A 15900-nucleotide genomic window follows, 5' to 3' on the forward strand; every position below is an offset into this window, starting at 1 on the left:
AGCATTAGTAAAGCAAAGTATATGGTGGGACTCAGGAGATCTGAAGTCTGGCCTCTGCTAGCTGACAAGATGTTACAACAAGTTACACAGTTTCTCCTTTTATAGTAGTCTCTAAGGTCTTTCCCTCCATTATGCAGAAACAATGTAATTAAAAGCACCTTTCAGATCATAATGTGCAAACAAACATCAGCTAGTATTATTATAGTTAGTGGATTTGAGAAAAAGACTTTCAATTATTGTGCATTAGTTGCTGTAACACTTTTGTACAACCTCCCCCTTTTTTTCCACTAGTAGAAATCAGGATGTGAGTTGCTTTTACCAAAGTATGAATAATGATGACTAGGAGGGCAAGGAAGTATCTACCATATAATTGGAACCCGATAAACACTCACTGATTTGTTGATGAATGAATGAATGAGTTAGTGTGTAAATGACTGAATGAATAATGTGAAGATTCAAGGAGTAATTACAGTTCGGTTCAATAAACATTTATTGATGGAGGTGACCAAAGACAAGTCACAGGGTAGGGAAAGGTAACCTGAGCAGACCTTTGGTCCCTTGGCCTCACCTGCAGAAGTCCACTCCAACATTCTTGAGCTTTACAACTGTGGCATAGGTATGTCCTTCCTTAAGCACTCCAAACTTGACTGATGATGGGAGAAGATGGAACCCAAAAAGGGATGACTTTGCATTATTAATGGCAGCAGATGCAACAGAGGATGTGTTCACTTTTCCTCCAACAGAATCTTGCACCTTTGCATTAAGAAAAAATTAATAAAATGGTTCTATTTTGAGTTCCCAAGATTAAAAAAAAAAAAGTCCCTGTCACCAGAGGAAAATAACTGTTGGGTTGCTGGAGGAAATGAATGTTTACAGTCTCATGTCATCCTTACAACAGTCCTGTGAGGACGTATTTTAGGCTTTGTTTTAAGGATAAGGAAGTCAAGTTCAGAGAACTGAAAGATGGATAATTGTTCAAGTGGTAAGTGGCATAGCAAAGATTCAGACTCAAGTTTGCCTGATTCTAGAGTCTGTGCTCTTTCATCTGTGCCAGTGGTCATCAAACGTTAGCTTCCATCAGAATCTCCTGGAGGACTCATAAATACACAGATTGCTGACTTTACCCCCAGAGTTTTTCATTCTGTTGGTCGGGGGCAGGGCCCAAGAATTTGCATTTATAACAAGTTCTTAGTGTTGGCAATGCTGCTGGTCAGGCAACCACACTTTGAGAAACATTGGTCTGTGCCCTTATTATTCCTCACATCAGCAGTGCTGACATCATCTCAGAGTTTGTTAGAACTGCAGAATCTCATGCCCTACACCAGATCTAGTGAGTCAGAATCTGTATTTTAACAAGATCCCGAGGTAATTCATATGCACATTAAAATTTGAGACGTACTGTAATTTATATATTGTCAGTTATATATATATGTATATTACAATAAATTTTGTGATGAAGATGAACACAGTATGCCATGGAAGAAAAAAAAAGATAATTATCAAAACTGGTGGACTCCAGAAGGTTTCCCAACAGAACTGGATGGAATCTTAATCTTAGGGGCTCTGAGCAAGAAAGGACCTTGGTATTTTTAAAGAATGAAGAGAAATCTACAATGGCTGAATTATAGTGAGTTTGACTCAGGGTGAGGGTGAAGAAGCAAATGGGGCCTTATCCTCATGCTAAGTCATTTGGATTTTATCCTAAGAGTCATGGCAACGGTGGCCAATGATTCCTTTAGCCAGTAGTAGTATGCTGGTAAACTGGCTCTCTGAAAACAATTCTGATTTCTAGTGTTTATCAATTTTGTGGTGCTAGTACTCCCAGCATGGCTGATTTCAAGCTATCAGTGGTTTGATAACTGGCTCATAAAATTTCTCCCAGCAGCCTGTATGAGCCAGCTCCACCAAAGCACCATCTGAGTTTACATGTGTGAGATGTAAGTTTAAAGAGCTTCATGGTGAGATGGTAGATACGGTCAATAGCAGTACACAGTGGCCGGAAACTAATAACTTCAATGAATCAGAATTACATAAAATCTACAAAAGGAGCAGGATTGAAAAAAATAAAAAATAAAGAATTCCATCAAATGCTGATTGGCTGTGGGGAATTTGTTCCAATGTTTGTTTTACCTTTGCAAGAGGTTGAGACTTAGGCTTGGAACTCAGCAAATAATGAGGCAACTTCACTTTTTCTTTTCTTGTTTGTCCCGCAACATCCTGCAGCAAGGACTGGGTTGGAATTTTCACGGGCTCATAAGATTCTGCTTCTGTTAGAGAGAAAGCTTAAATTATGCCACATGGACATTTTATTCAAACACATTTGAAGTAATATCAGAATGTATGACAACAGAAACCAACTTGGAAACTTTTTTTCTTTGCTTTTCAAAGAGCTTATTTATTTATTTTTATTTTAATTTCAATTTTTCTTTTAGATTTACTGCAGGTTTGTTACAAGGGTATAATGCATGATCATGCTGCCCAAATAGTGAACATAGTATGCGATAGGACATTTTTCAGCCTGCCTCCTCCCTTCCTCCCTCCTTTCAGAGTCCCCGGCATCTCTTGTTCCCCTCTTTATGCCCATGAGTGTCCAAGATTTAGCTCCTACTGAAGTGAGAACATGTGATTTTGGGTTTTCTGTCATTAATCTTCTTAGAATAATGGCTTGCAGCTGCATCCATGTTGGTGCAAAGAACATGATTTCATTCTTTTTTATGGCTACATAGTATTTCATGGTGTACACGTACTACATTTTAAAAATCCAATCCATCATTGATGGGCACCTAGGTTGATTCCGTGTCTTTGCTATCATGAACATTACTGCAGTGAACATGTGAGTGTATGTGTCTTTTTGATAGAACAATTTCTTTTTCTGTGGGTGTATATCTAGTAATGGAATTGCTGGGTCAAATTGTAGTTCTATTTTTAGTGTAAACAGCTTATTTAAAAGGAGAAAAGTCTTCTGTTAATTCTCATTTTATGCCTTTTCATTTTAGAAAGTGATTTTACATACATGACCTAATACTGGTCCTCACAACAACCGTATAAGGTGGGCAGTACAGATGCTATTAGCATCTTTTTTTTAATAAATGAGAAAAATAAGATTCTAAGAAGTCAAGTGGCCTGTCTAGGATGAACTGAATTATACCCAGATCTTCAAGGTTCCTTCTATTAAATCAACATTATATAATACAATACAACATTAACTCTGAAAGATTTATTAAAACTAATGAGTAAAAAAAAAATCCCAAGCATTTCTTTGATTCTACTACTATATTCATAGTTTTAAAAAGTGGTTTATTAAGTATAGATAAATTAAGCCAGAAAATTAGATCTTCAGATCACTAAATTTGGTGAGTTGTTCTTTTCCTCAGTTACATGAGGGAATGAGCAAGTGTAGGAAATCCATGCAGCAGTAGCTGTGTGTCTTTGTTCCACAGATCCAGGAGGTGGAAATAAGAATAGTATTTTAGATCATGGTAGTTAAAAATCCTTTCCTGCATTCAAATCAGGAAGAGAGGAAAAGGAAGGGGACTAATATTTGAGTGTCCACGATCTGCAGGTGAGTGCCACACATGTTTTTACACCGGAATGAGGGGGCTCTGGCAGTGATAATCTTGGACTGCTCAGCATTCTTCCCATCCTCCATCTCTATGCAAACTCCTGCCACACACATCTGGTGCCAGGACGTCCCTGGTCCCAACCATGAGGAGCAAAGCCCAGTCAATGAGGGCCCTTCCCTGGATATTTCCACTGAAGCGGACAGCGATAACCCCATCTTGCATACTAGGTTATGGATCTGGAAGAATCAGAATCTTAGGCCTTTATGGTCATGATCTCTGCCACATGGAAATAGCCTGTCCTTTGTAGGAGAGGATAAAACCAAACAGGAACAAGTAGGGATGGGTCATGGTGGAGGCAGGGGGGATGTGGAGAGAAACAGGCATTCAGACACAAATACTCTCCTGGAAAGCCAGAGTACCTGAAGCCAAATGCCCCTGGGCTAGCACCACAGTCACACAGCCACTATTCTGTGGTTTGCTTTTGGTCACCAATAAATTTCCTTTTTTGTTGTTGTTCAAGTGAATTTGAGTTTTAGTTCTCATGGCTGTAAACTGAGAAGTCCTAACTAATATAGTAGTAGTGTCTCTGTTTTTTTTGCTTGTTTGTTTGTTTTTACCAAAGGGGAAACAGAGGATCAGAGGATTAAATAACTTGTCCAACAAACTATAATGAGGGTCAGGGCTAGAATGTGGACCTAAGTGTGTTGGAACCACAAGGAACATGCTCCTTTTACTACTCCGGGTGTCCCAAGCCCATTCGTGAATCACCGTCTGCTGGGCTGCTTTTGGAAGAATAGAGATTTCCAGGGCACATGCCAGTAAAGCCCTATTCCTGACCAAAACAGAATCAGAATATCTGGGAATGGAACTCAGTGATCAGTGTTTTTATGTATTTATTCCCTTTGATCACTATTCTCTGCAGAGGCAAGCATTCCAGTAGTTTGGTATAGTTTTTGTTCATATCCTTGCCGTATGTGTACTACGGCTTTGTGTGTATGCATGTATCAGTCTAATAAGTACTAATTTGTTGCTCATACTATTATTATTAATAGTAAATATGGTATGGAGTTTATCATGAGCTGGACACTGTGCTAAGCATTTTACATACATTAACTAATTTAATTCTCACAGCCCTGTGATGTATATAGCATTATTTCCCCTTTACAGAAGAGAAATAGGAAGAGATAAAGGGTTTAAATAATGTGCCCAGTGTCACATAGCTATTACACAAGGAGCCCGGATGTGAACCCAGGTAGAGCCTGTACTCTTAGCTCTGCTCTATACTAGACTGCCTCCCATAAAACATGCAGATGATTATTCCACTGAGCCTACCCTCCAGGGATCAGGATAATGGGGGAGGGAGTCCTTGAGGGTCTTGGAGCAGTGGCTGATTACCAGCTGACACAGAGGTCCTTTAGTATTTGAACAACTGGTACAATCCAACTATTGCATTCGTCTGAATATTACTGCTGGACCTGAGCCGAGTGAAGAACCAGTAGTGGTTCCTTGTTACCATGCTGAGGAAGGTGGATTATTTCTTCACAATTATTTATTTCCCCATTGAGGATGGCTTCCCTGTAGGTGGAAGATATTTCTGCTCCATTGACTCTGAGCTTGGCTACGGCACTTGCTTTAACCAACAAATGTGTCTGTGGATGGCAGTGTGTGCCAGGCTGAGCAGAGGCTGTGAGGGGTAGCATGTGCTTCTGCTGGACTCTCTTGAGCTTTGACCTTCTGCTGTGAGGATGGCTTGCCTGACGTGGTGGCTCCTTGGCTCCCACAGTGTGGCATTCTTGGAATACACCTGAACATTACCTGCAGCCGGAGGTGTGCTGGTGAATGGTTAACAACTACCTTTCCCAGGGTAAACTGCCCTGGTTTGTACCAGTCTGGGGCAGAGCTGCCATGGACATCCACAGGCCCTCAGACTGGTTGTTTTAAGCCACTACAGGATTTGGCAGTGCTTCCATGCAGTATTATCACAGTCAGCACTGAACCCATGTTTTATTTTGCAAGTCCACACCTTCTCTAGCTGACTCTATTGTATTTTCCAGACATCATCTTGTATTATTACCAAATAAAAACTCTCTTATTTACTTACACTGATTTCCTGTTCATTTCTCCCTTCAAGCTTTTGAACACATTCATTTTATTTTAAATAAAATATTCAGGCTGGGCACGGTGGCTCACACCTGTAATTCCAGCACTTTGGGAGGCCGAGGTGGGCAGATCACCTGAGGTCAGGAGTTCGAGACCAGACTGGCCAACATAGTGAAACCCCGTCTCTACTAAAAATACAAAAAAAAAAAAAAAATTAGCTGGGTGTGATGGTGGGTGCCTGTAATCCCAGCTACTCAGGAGGCTGAGGCAGGAGAATTGCTTGAACCCAGGAGGTGGAGGTTGCAGTGAGTCAAGATTGTGCCACTGCACTCTAGCCTGGGCGACAGAGCAAGACTCCCTCTCAAAAAAAGAAATTAATAAAATAAATATTCTTTTCTCTTCCCTACATCAGGAATGTAGTGTAACATAATATAGAGAATTAAGAGTCTTAAAACTCATTCCAGCCCTAGCTCAGTCACAAATTTGCTGTATGATTTTTAGATGTCACTTGACTTCTCCAGGTTTCAGTTTCCTTAAGTAAAATGAGGGTTGTTGTAGGTGATTCACCTCTTAAATCTTAAAATCTATGAAATTCTGTTTATTTTTCAAGACCATTCCTCCCATAAAGCTTTCTCCACTGCTTTGTGTTAATTCCTTCCTACTCTGAATTTCTTTAAACTTTTTATATCAAAATTTAATTTTCCATTTACAGTGGAGTCATATTATTGTCCCTTATCTCAAGTACCTCGGTATCTGGGGGTGCAGTAGGTGTTTCAAATAATTTATTTTTCCTCCTTCAAAGCTTTGTTTCTTTGAAGCTTGTGCCATCAGACTGTATTAGTTACTACTTCTCCAAGTGGTTGTCATTTACTGACCACTCTCGATCATTCCTTTTATTCACTGGTGATTTTAACACCTGAGAGGGTCTCCCACTTTATCTTTCCTGATGACATCACCTGGATGATCCATCCAACACCCTGTCTTATCTGATTCTTGATCACACCGTTTCTTCATCTTTTCCACCTCACAGAGTCTCATGGCCACATTTTTTACCTTGCCAACCCCGATCATTTTACCATTTTCAAAATCTGTTTCCAGTACCCTTTCTGGATTACCACCTCCTATTCTTCTAGCTTATTATTCTGTCATATCCAGCAGGCGATTATTTGACCTCACTGAGGTCTCTCACCAACACTTCACCTTACACAAGCAGTCCCTCCCTTCTTGTTTTGCTTTCCTGCTTATCTGGAATAGATCTGATGCTCTATCATTATATCCACTCCTTTGCAATCAGACAGGAATTCCCTCATCCATCTTCCCCACACCAAACCTATCAACCTGCCTGCAAATGTATCCCTACTCTCTCTCTTCTCTCCTGTCACTATGGAGAAGGTGACCTTATTCATATCTAAGGTTAATTCTGTCACTCAAGTTTTTCCCCAGATGCCATGTTCTTCCATCTTCTTTAGGACCTTGTGGTCTTGCACCTTAGGTGCCTCTTTCTCTGGCATCATCAAGTTCTCTCTGGCATGGAATTATCATCATTTGCAAATCAATAGGCTCTAGTATGCCTAATCTTTAGAAAAATATCTCTTCCTTGACTACATATTCCTCTTTTATATGCAATTCCATTTCTCTAGTCTTTTAAGCAAAACTCTAGGGTAAAGCTGTGTACATTTGTGCTGCCACTATTCTATCTATTACCCACTTCACTTAGGCTTCAATCCCCTCCATGCTCTGAAACTGCCCTTGTTAAGTTCACCAGTGATCTTCATCTTGTTCAATCCCATCTTCCTCCCTCACCTTGCAGGGGTGAGGGGCATTTGACCTTGCAGGGGCATTTGATACACTCCAAACACTCAGTGATTTCACACTCCTGTTTTTCTGCTACCTTACTGGCTTCTTCCTCTTCTTTTTTTTTTTTTTTGAGACGGAGTTTCGCTCTTGTTGCCCAAGCTGGAGTGCAATGGCGTGATCTCAGCTCATTGCAACCTCTACCTCCCTGGTTCAAGCGATTCTCCTGCCTCAGCCTCCTGAGTAGCTGGGATTACAGGTGCATGCCACCATGCCTGGCTAATTTTTTGTATTTTTAGTAGAAACGGGGTTTCAGCATGTTAGCCAGGCTGGTCTCAAACTCTTGACCTCAGGTGATCCACCCGCCTCAGCCTTCCAAAGTGCTGGGATTACAGGCATGAGCCACCGCGCCTGGCCTACTGGCGTCTTCTTAATGGCCTTTACTAGCTCTTCCTCTGCCTGACTTTTACCTTCTAGAGTTCGCCTCAGGACAGCCATTCTCAAGGCATAAACCTATATCAGCAACATCAGCACCACTTGTGAACTCATCAAAACTACAAATTCTCAGCCTCACAATCAGTTTAACCTAAGAATCATCCTTGATTCCTCTTTTTGTCTCACTCCTGCATCCTCTTGAGCAGCAAATTCTATTGGCTCCACCCTCATGATATAGTTCCTATTAATTTCCTTCTCACCATTCCCTCTTCGCCCACCATAGCCCAGGTCTTCAGCAACTCTCGCATGTGCCACTTCAGTTGCTTCTTCCTTGCTTGCTCTTTTTCTCACTCCTCCCTTTCCTTGCCACGAGCTGTTATCCTCACAGAGTGATCTTTTTAAAATAAAAATTAGCCATGTAACTACCCTGCTCAAAACCTTCCGCTGACGTTTGAATAAAACTGCGCTGAGAAGTACTACATGATCTAATCTCTGCCCCACTCTCTGACCTCATCTTCTTTTACTTTTTCCTTTGCTCAATTTGTTCTAGCTACATGCCTCCTTAATGTTTCTGCCCCTCAGGAACTTCTTACCTGCTATTCTTACTACATGAACTATTGCTCTCCTAATCTTTGCAGGGCTGACTCCTTCTTATACTTGTCTCAACTCAACTATTTTTTTACAATGAGGCCTTCTAATCTCCTAATGGAATGTTGCCCCTCTCCCCAAGTCACTGTCCATACATTGTACTGTTTTATTATGTCATAATATTTATTACAACCTGAATTTATCTGACTTATTTATTTGTTTACATATTGTCTAGGTTTGCCCATAATATGGGAGGGGTCTAGCTCCATCAGATATGGGAGGGGTCTAGCTCCATCAGACTGTGCCCTCATTACTATTGTATATCCATGCCTAGAACAATGCCTAGCACACAGTAGGCATTGAGTAATTATCCACTGAATGAATAAAACTTGTAGGAGAGAAGTTTAAGTCAGAAACACAAAAGTCTTGTATGGGGTAAATCTTTTTTTTCTTTTTTCTTTTCTTTTCTTTTTTTGGGATGGAGTCTCGCTCTGTTGCCTAGGCTGGAGTGCAGTGGCATGATCTCAGCCCACTGCAACCTCTGCCTCCCAGGTTCAAGCGATTCTCCTGCCTCAGGCTCCTCGGTAGCTAGCATTACAGGCAAGCGCCACCATGCCCAGCTAATTTTTGTATTTTTAGTAGATACAGGGTTTCACCATATTGGCCAGTCTGGTCTTGCACTCCCGACCTCAAGTGATCTGCCCACCTCAGCCTCTTAAAGTGCTGGGATTACAGGCATGAGCCACAGTGCCTGGCCAGGTAAATCTTTTAATTCACACTTAAATGTGGCAAAATACTTGCTCTATAAGAGATAACTGAAACCCATCAGTAGATTCCCATCTCACATTCAGCATGGAACATGCCCACAGGAACCAAGTGGTGGCAAAATCATCTACACAATGCAAATTAGTCTCTCTATCTCTCTTTTGTGATCAACTATATTTAGTTGAATTATCTTAGCGAAATTAGCATAATGTGACTCCACTGTAACTAGATATTATCCTGTATTATTTTATATTTCAATTTCTGCTAGTCCAATAAGATTATGTGCTATGTAAGATAGAGACTACATCTTACATTTTTCTTCTAGCACCTGCAGGACCAAGAAAGTACTGAGATAACAGGTAAATCTAAGTACCAAATTTCTGGTTACTCAAGAAAAGCTATCAGTGTCATCTGATCTTCAATAAATCATACAAGTTCTCAGAGAACTAAAAGGGATAAAATTAGGTAAAAATGAAATAAAATAACATCAAAAAAGGATTTCTTTGTATTTCTTTCCTTCAGTCTGGAACTTGCAGTCATTCTCAAAAATGTTATTTGAGATACTTCGATGTGCTAAGAAGCCTTTGCAAAGCTGCATAGCTCCAGGATCCGTGACCCTCTCGATTTTTTTCTGTAACTCTCAACCTCGCCTCCTAGCGCCATCTCCCATATGCCAAAAAGACATAATGTTCAGTTTCAAGAAGCAATAAGATAAAAAAGACTGCCATACCTTCAGGAGATTTTGTTAAATTTTCAGTTTGGTTCTGAGCAGTGAAATCCTTCTTATCTGCAGAAATCTCTGGTTTTGGAAGACTAGGCACACTTGAGGATTTCTGTTCTGAAACCTTATGTGGCTTGAAATCTAGAAAACCCAAAATGAACCTTATAAAGTGATATTTTGTAAAATGATATAATGACTACTAATGTTTGCATGAACAAACATTGAAGAAGGTGTTTTACAATGAATGAGGTACCTTTTCTGCCACTCTCTTTAGAAAGACTAAATATAAGAAAGCCATTAAGAGGCAGGGATTCTTAAAATATGATATAATGTTTGCCATTAACAAACAGTAAAGTATTTGCAAAGTTTGTACTCCCTAGGAGCTAGCTGGTTCTTTATGGGCATTATGACTAAATAGTAGAGTTGTCACCTTGTTGTGTTATGTAGAAGAGGCCAAGTAATTTGTTTCTACTTTTACCTGGTAACGGCAACTGAGATGTTATCTTTTTTCAGAAATTTCCAAACTTAAATTCATTCATTACTGTGAAAACGTAGCTCTTTGTTAAATGTATCTCTTTAAGAAATAGGTACAATAGGAAACAAATTTTAAAGAAATTTATCTAGGATTGAGGAGGCAAATACATTTCAGTTTGTGTGTGTGCCAACCCTGGTTGAATAGTCCTGGTTGCCTCAAGTACTGTGCTGAAAAGACTTCCGCAGTCTCACTCCATTTCAAGAGGAGAATAAGCAGTGTTTGGTTAGTGCTGACTGCCCAGGCTGCAGGAGGTCTGAGACGCAACCTAATAGCCACCAATTTCTGATCCCTGATTTCTCCCCATCACATTTATAAGTCATTGTTCCAGCCTTAATCTTTGGTTTACCAACTCTGTCATAATTAGATATTTCTATTGTATGCGTTCATTATAGACAGCTGAACTTCAAGTATCGTATGGTACAGTAGAAAATTCCTCTATCTGCTTATTTTTTTTTTTTTTTTTTGAGACGGAGTCTTGCTCTGTCGCCCAGGCTGGAGTGCAGTGGCACGATGTCAGCTCACTGCAAGCTCCACCTCCTGGGTCCACGCCATTCTCCTGCCTTAGCCTCCCTAGTAGTTGGGACTACAGGCACCCGCCACCACGCCTGGCTAATTTTTTGTATTTTTAGTAGAGACGGGGTTTCACCGTGTTAGCCAGGATGGTCTCGATCTCCTGACCTCGTGATCCACCCGCTTTGGCCTCCTAAAGTGCTGGGATTACAGGCGTGAGCCACCGTGCCCGGCCCCCTATCTGGGTATTTTAACTACTCAGTTTACTAGAGAGAAACACTACATTTTATTTCATCCCTAAATTCTTCAGCATGCAGTTCCTGAGAATGAAGACATTCTCCTACATATTCACAGCACCATCATCATACCCAAGAAATTAACAGTAATTTAACAATGTCCTCTCTTACATAGTCTCCTAATCAAACTTGTGCAGTTTCTCCAAAATATCTTTTATAGCTGTTTTTTCCTCAATCAAGCATCCAATCAAAGCTTAGGTTTCACATTCAGTTTTTATATCACTTTAGTCTGTTTTAGTTTAGAACAATCATCCCATCTTTTTTGTTTTAATGACATTGATTTTTGAAGAGGCTGGGCTGGTCGTCTTATAGAATGTCTGCATTTTGGTAGACATTTTTCTCTGTTTCCTCTTGATTAGATTCTGGATAAGGATTTTTGGCAAGAATTCTCTATAGGATTGTATTAGTCGGTTTTCACATTGCTTATAAAGACATATCCAAGACTGGGCATGTCTACAGGAAAAAGGTTTAATGGACTCACAGTTCCACATAGCTGGGGAGGCCTCACAATCATGGTGGAAGGCAAGGAGAAGCAAGTCATGTCTTACATAAATGGCAGCAGGAAAATAGAGAGCGAGCTTGTGCAGGGGAACTGCCCCTTATAAACCCATCAGATCTCATGAAACTTATTCACTATCACGAGAACAGCACGGGAAAGACCTGCCCCCATGATTCAATTACCTCCCACCAGGTACCTCCCACAATACATGGGAATTCAAGACGAGATTTGGGTGGGGACAAAACCAAACCATATCAAGGATCTATGCACTTTGTGTTGCATTACATGAGAACTCACTTACTGCTAGGTTGTCTCATTGTTGGTAGGAGTTTGATGACTTAGTTAAGGTAGAAAATGCTGAATGTCTCCATTGTAAAGATACATTTTCCTCCTTATAATTTGTAAGTAATATGTGGGTTGATATTTTGAGACCTTATGAATGTCTTGTTCCCCAGTGAACTTTCATTACTTCCTTGCTTTTTAAATTAGTCAGGTCTCCTAAATGCATTTAGGCCAATTTTAAGCATACAGGATGAAAACTAAATGTTATTTACATATTTGTTTTCTCATATAACTCAGCCAGATCTGTCATATGCAGGTCACTGTAGGCTATGTCATCAGCTATCACTGGTTATGTCCTAAGAGGCCACTGTTAGGTATTATTCAGTTACGGACATTTAATAGGAATATGTGCTATGCTAACATATTACCTAGATTAAGATCAGATGTATCTTGAACAGCTGTTTCGTTTGCATCTTCATTTTTCTTTGTAAAAGAAGGCAGTTTTTTGGAAAGACTGTCCAGGTGATTATACTGAAAGGAAAAAAAAACTTATTTTAGACTTATACATGGCTGAAATTCAACTGTCGCAAATATGTTAAATTAATAAGCAATAATGAAAACATATTTTTAATGCCCTGAAAATAAAGTTTACAAACTAAAATTCTACAAGAGACTGATTAACCCAATTCTAGCTTTTGTTAACTAGTCATAATTTCCTGTAATTTCTTCTGAAATTTTCATAGAAATGCAGGGCGTTCTGAACATATGAAAATATTCGCTTTGCTTCAGGGTTTTAATGAACTTTTGGCCAGTGATGGGAAGGTCGGGGCTGTGGTCCTACAGGTAGGCTGAAATAGAACAGGAGAAGAGCGTTCTCCCTCCCTGAGCTTCCAAGAACTCACAATCTCTTAGTGCTATCTTAGCAGCTGATGGGTGAGGAAATTTTAACTGAATAAAAACTTCAAAATGGGTTATCAGAGGACAATCAATGATAGGAAAGATTCTGCCTAAAAAGGCTTAACATAGATGGGAGAGGGTAAGTAATAGTGAGACTGAAAGGCAGGATGGGGTAGTGATAGTTATACATTGCAGAGAACTTCTACTTAGGTGCAAGGCCTGAAATTAGTCTTCCTTATCACATGCTTGTGAGAATATGGATTTGAAGGGTACAGGTTAGTCAGCCAGGTCGATGCAGGAAAGAATTAAACAGCATCAGGAAAGACAGATTACATAATAACATATGCAATATACCAAATTTATAAAAACTTTTATTAGATTATAGTTCATTATATTCAATTACCTGAGACTGATATAACTGGTTCAATTCAGATTTAAAAAAGGGTGGTATTATGCGGTTCTTAATATCCATTAGGTAATTCTGTGTTGTCTCAATTTCCTTCCTGGTTGATGTTTCCATGATGATGCAAAAGAAGACATAGAATATTTTAAAGTGTTGTTTGTTTGTGCTTTAGCTCTAAATCCCACAAAAATGAATGCAATCACTAACAATAAAACTGACAAGAATTAATTTATTAGATATTTTTGTCAACTTGTTTTGGTTAATTTTCTCTTCTTTTAGAATCACTCACATTTCCTACTTCAAAAATCAGACTCTCATGTAAGATAAGAAATAATGATACCAGGTGTTAGTTTGATTTTGTAGTTGATCTCAAAAGGCTAAAAACCACATAGCCCTGTAATGGTTAAACTTTTTGAGGTTTTTCAATTCTCTGAGGTTGAAATGACAGCTAGAGTCTACTGGTTTTCATAATTTCTGTAGCAGTAGTAACAAAAAAACCCAAACAAACCAAAAACAAAAACTTGAGGCATGATTTGTGAATAATGTGGTCAGTGGTTATAGAGTTAAAGAAAAGCAATCAGGATAGTACTGCTTTCCAATACCAGAACCCCTATGTTGGGGAGACATTATATAGGGAAAGCCAATGAGATGTAAACTTAAGTCATTGGGTAAGAGTCCAGGAGCTTTTAAAGAGGGCTGACTCAACTGGGAAACTTTTCCTGGTCCTTGCCTCATGTCTTTCCCTACTTCCTGAAATATGAATGTAATGGCTGGGGCTGCAGCAATCATTTTGCAACTATGAAGTAAGCTTGAGCATGGAAATGATGTACTAAGAATGATGGAACAGATAAAAAGAAGGAATCTGAATTCCTGATGATGTTGTGGTGCTTCCTACCATCAACTGCCCACCTCTGACTTTTTTCACGTTAGGAAAATAAGCCCCTTTTTAATACAAGCACTGATTTGGAGGTTTTCTGTTAAATGTAGCTGAACTCAATCCTCCCTGAAATACTTTTCATTTTTAAGTGCTTATTGCACTAAAAAACTTAAGTTTTGCAAAATATTTTACATTTAATCTTACAATAACCCTGTGAGTTACTATTTTTATCCTCACTTTATGAGTTGAAAAACCAAAGCATAGAGAGGTTAAGTAACCTATTCCAAATCACATTACCAATAAAGGGTGGAATCTAAATTAAAACCCAGGTTGCTTGCCTCCAAACCCATGGTCTTGACAACTGCACATGCTAGTCAGCCGTCAGTCCCCCAGTGTGAGAGCTAAAAGAGACCTTAGATATTTGGCAGTCCAATTAGCCTCAGTTTATTGATGAGCAAACTGAACTCCTGAAGTAAATGTTACTGAAGTGAAACAACCAGCCAGCATCATACGTTCTGTAAGTAATCAAATTGTAACTGACTGGATCTGTGACCAGTGCTCTTATACTAGTTGACCTGTCTGGAAATATCAGACAGGCATGACCAAAATACAAACTTACTTAAACAACTTTCACTTCCCATTAAAAGTTTCTTATCTCTACTGCCTCACTGGATTCACTCATCGATCTACGGCAGTCTGGCTGCTGCCCACCACTCTCTTAAAATTATTCTCACAAAAGAAACTAATCAACCTTGTAACTGATAAACTCAAATTCCTTTTTTCATTCCCATTTCTGATTTTTCTACAGCATCTGACATTTGCTGACCAGCTTCTATTTCCTTGAAACTTTCTCTTTCCTTGACCCAGTTCATTTTCCACATTGCCAACACTTGTATTTCTGTGACACTCATCTAATTATATGTTTCACTCTTCTTCAAAAAACTTTCACTGGCTTGCCATTATATACCTATAAGTTAAAACTTGAAATTGTTAATGTTTCAAAATTTAAAAAGTTTGTATAGATAATACAGGCATATGTACACAGTTTAAAGAACACTCAAGAGTATGTAATAATGAAGTCTCCATCTCATCCTATACCCCATCTCTCAATCTCCTTCCTCTCAGGCAATCACTGTCTCTTGGAGAAGCCTTTAGGGATATTCTGAAAATAATGTGCTTCAGGGAACACTACCTTAAAATATGGCACCTTGACACACTGAATATTTTCAGCTGAAGGAATTTGAGAAAATGGCAGAAACAGGAAATTTACTCTCACCTTCCCTCTGCTCTTCTTCCCTGAAGCAGGACATAAAACCTAGAAAGGATTTTCTGACCTTCCCCTGAAGCAGCTCATAAGACTCTCTCATGAGAGGTGCCCTTGAAATACCCACAGGAAAGGAGCATCCTTATCTCTGAAGACACAGATGCACAGAGAGGAATCTGAGCAACAGACCTTGCTATAGCCCCCCAGCTTATTACCATTAGATTGTGCTTTTTTGCCCTATCATATTTCTCCATGAGTGTCCATTCTTCATCAAACCTAGCATAAAGACACTCAGGTTTAGCCATTTATTTGGGTCTTCATTTCCTTATAAAGACTGTCATGTCACGCAAAACTTAAGCTATCCTCCCTGC

At 39.5% G+C, this 15900-nt stretch overlaps 1 protein-coding gene across 15 annotated transcripts in view; it reads right to left on the reverse strand.

The window, feature by feature from the left end:
• Positions 1-15900, reverse strand: part of SPAG17 (sperm associated antigen 17) — a 231639-nt gene that overhangs the window by 17705 nt on the left and 198034 nt on the right. For 14 of the 15 annotated variants that reach the window (XR_946574.2, XM_006710427.4, XM_006710426.4 and 11 more), the window contains 5 exons: positions 13389-13488; positions 12517-12619; positions 9976-10107; positions 2131-2267; positions 569-753 (listed from right to left, as the gene is read on the reverse strand). Coding sequence is in view for 14 of the 15 variants with exons in the window: in XM_006710427.4 (XP_006710490.1) it covers positions 569-753; positions 2131-2267; positions 9976-10107; positions 12517-12619; positions 13389-13488 (657 nt within the window). In the remaining variant the exon portion in view is untranslated. The remainder of the gene's footprint in view (positions 1-568; positions 754-2130; positions 2268-9975; positions 10108-12516; positions 12620-13388; positions 13489-15900) is intronic. The other variant, XM_011540934.2, reaches the window with a different exon arrangement.

The sequence above is a fragment of the Homo sapiens genome, chromosome 1 (genome assembly GCF_000001405.40).
Source record: "Homo sapiens chromosome 1, GRCh38.p14 Primary Assembly".
In the NCBI taxonomy this organism is placed as follows: Eukaryota; Metazoa; Chordata; class Mammalia; order Primates; family Hominidae; genus Homo; species Homo sapiens.